This window comes from Homo sapiens, chromosome 12, assembly GCF_000001405.40.
Source record: "Homo sapiens chromosome 12, GRCh38.p14 Primary Assembly".
NCBI lineage: Eukaryota > Metazoa > Chordata > Mammalia > Primates > Hominidae > Homo > Homo sapiens.
Genome location: NC_000012.12, coordinates 73219724 through 73222727, shown reverse-complemented (window position 1 = coordinate 73222727; position 3004 = coordinate 73219724). Strand labels below are relative to the sequence as shown.

Sequence of the window (3004 nt, the reverse complement as noted above, 5' to 3'; positions counted from 1 at the left end):
CTTATTATAAATGAATAACAATTATTTCTCTTTATTACTCACTAATTAGAATTTCTCTCTATTCTCTCAGAGCTCTAAAATCAATTATAAATTCATAGTTAAATTCTCATTATAATGAAAAAATAAGCAATACACATACAGCAAAATTCTTCCGAGGCCACCTACTTCTCCGATAGTTGCTTTCTCCCTAGATGCTGTTAATATTTTTCTCAAAATTATTCTATTAATATATTATAAATCTAATAAATTTAAACATGAGATTTTTTTTAAATTTGATGATTGAATTTTAAAAACTAATACAAAGAAATGTGGACTTTTATATATTTACTTTAGATACAGCTACTTTATTAAACTATCTCTTTCCTTTTGATTAGTTATTTCTAGGTATATAATTCTATTCTCCATTAATAATGATACTTTTTGTTCCCTTTGTAATGACTAACATTTTTATTTTTGTCTCATGCTTCAAGTTCTGTGAATGACAATGCAGATAGAACCCATTCTTTGTCTAGCTACAGTTATAGTAATTTGTCATTAAATGATGATGTTGGTGTTTGAGATCTAAAATGATTAATTTTATTCATTTTAATACTTTATGTTATAATACAGTCATGATGATGATGACAGCTAACAGTTATTGAGAAGCCCAAGCAATGTGTCATATATCAGTGTAACTACCTTACATTCATTATCTCACTTCCTCTTTCTAAGAACCCATGGCATAATGCAAAAACTCAGTTTTGAGGACTGATCAGCTAGTTAGCAGTAGAAGTAGAACTCAAACTTAGTCTATAGTAATGCAAACTATTCATTATTTTAGTTACTATTCTATTTATTTAATAATATTTTTAAACAGTCTAAAGCCTATTAAAAAATCAATTCCTAAAGCAGGTAAATTTAAGTATACTAAAATGTTAATGATTCAAATGACAGGTAATAAAAGGTAAATTCATTATTCCTTTAAAACAAAAGCAAGATTTGTGGAACTTTTCTTCCCTTCTTCACTATTTCTTTTTTTTCCCCCTGTGTTTCTCTGTTTCATCTCTGTTCTTAAATTACACTTCAAAAAAACAGAATTGTAAACCTCTGGGTACATGAAGTATATAACCTTTGAGCTGAGTTCATTCCCTTGCCTCTGGGCCATTGCTCATTTGACCATCACCTGTATTTTCACTACACTACATGGTCATTTAAAGTTCTGGGCTTGTTTTAATTTGTTTGTTTAAAAGTTGTTCTAGGGTTTAATTTTGCAAGTATTCAAGCCTGAACCTTGTCTTTTACCCTACTTATTTAACATATTTTTGTCAGACCAAAATTATACTGATTTTTCCCAGTATTTCCTGATTAAAAAGCAAAGTGAAGAGTAAAACCCAAACATTTTTCCTAGAAATCTAGGGGGCAATTAAAAGAAATCACTAGGGCATTGTATAACATCATGAACACATACTCCTTTGGATATCCGTTGCTTACTTTTTGAACAAGTTTTTTCCTGTATACTGGCATGCGGGAGGCAAATAATATCATCCATAATAGATTGAGCAGTAGATCCAAGCAGGGCTGGCAAAAAACCAAAGCAAACACAGCATTCATCTTTGGTTGTAGTACAAAAAGACCAGTAATGCCAATTTGCTTCCCAAACAAAATAAAAATAAATGAGGAAATATAGCCTGTGGTGGAGAAGGAGGGATGACCTGTCCTGAATTTAGAAGTCTGACAAAAGTGGAGTGCAAATACAACTACACAGATATCAGTTATGTGATTTTTTTCCACAAATTACTTAAATTCTGAGTCAAGCTTCTTCATGTTCAAAATGAGGATAATTCCATTTTGCTAATAGTATTTAGGTTAGGTAGCAACAAAAAAGCTACCAAGTATCTGGCACAAAGTGCATAGTAAGCCATGATTAAGTTGTATATTTTATTACATGAGGTATTTCTGTAAGGTATTAACAATGTAATGGGATTATGAGACAAAGACAGTGAATATAAGAAAGGTTGAGTTTGCAGTGGCAGCAGTACTTGCTGAAATGGCAAAGATCCAGCTGGCTAACAGCTCCATAAGATGTTACTTTGTCTCTGTAGTACCATATTGGCTGTACCTTGCCTGTCTATGATATTGCCCAAGCTTGGTTCTCTAGTTTTCCTACTGATTTTACCCATGGCTCAGCTGAGACCTTTTCAATGAAGTCCTTTTCTGCTTAATTTGTTTCTGTTATTTATAACTGAAAATGATATTATATTATACTAGTTAGTCATTTTATACTAGTCAGTATAGAAATTTGAATGAATGGTTTCCAAGAATAAACCTTCAGGGGCATAGGGAATTCTAGGCTTTGTTCACTGGCATATTTGAGACTGAAGATTATGAATATCTAAATTAACATTGAGAGTTACAACAATCCAGTCACACTATTTTTTATTTTAAAATATACAACTAAGTTATTATTGACTATAGTCACCCTGTTGTGCTATCAAATAGCAAGTCTCATTCATTCTTTCTATTTTTTTGTACCCATTAGCCATCCCCACCTCCTACAGCTCCCCACTCAAAGGATAAGTGCTTAAGGGGATGGATATACCATTCTCCATGATGGGCTTACTTCACATTTCATGCCTGTATCAAAATATCTGATATACTCTATAAATATATATGCTTAACATGTATTCACAAAAATTAAAAATAATTTTAAAAATTTAAAACCCGGCCAGGCATGGTGGCTCACACCTGTAATCTCAGCACTTTGGGAGGCCAAGGCGGGTGGATCACCTGAGGTTGGAGGTTTGAGACTAGCCTGACAGACATGGGAAAACCCTGTCTCTGCTAAAAATACAAAATTATCCAGGTGTGGCAGTGCATGCCTGTAATCCCAGCTATTCAGGAGGCTGAGACAAGAGAATCGCTTGAACCCAGGAGGTGGAGGTTGTGGTGAGCCGAGATTGCACCATTGCACTCCAGCCTGGGCAACAAGAGTGAAACTCCATCTCAAAAAAATTAAATAAATAAA

At 33.2% G+C, this 3004-nt stretch overlaps 1 annotated feature.

Annotated features, from left to right (window-relative positions):
• Nucleotides 612–812: a silencer, noted in NCBI's record as "peak1832 fragment used in MPRA reporter construct". NCBI's record gives its function as "represses an SCP1 promoter by STARR-seq MPRAs in K562 erythroleukemia cells {active_cell/tissue: K562}" and the evidence as "EXISTENCE:reporter gene assay evidence [ECO:0000049][PMID:32103011]".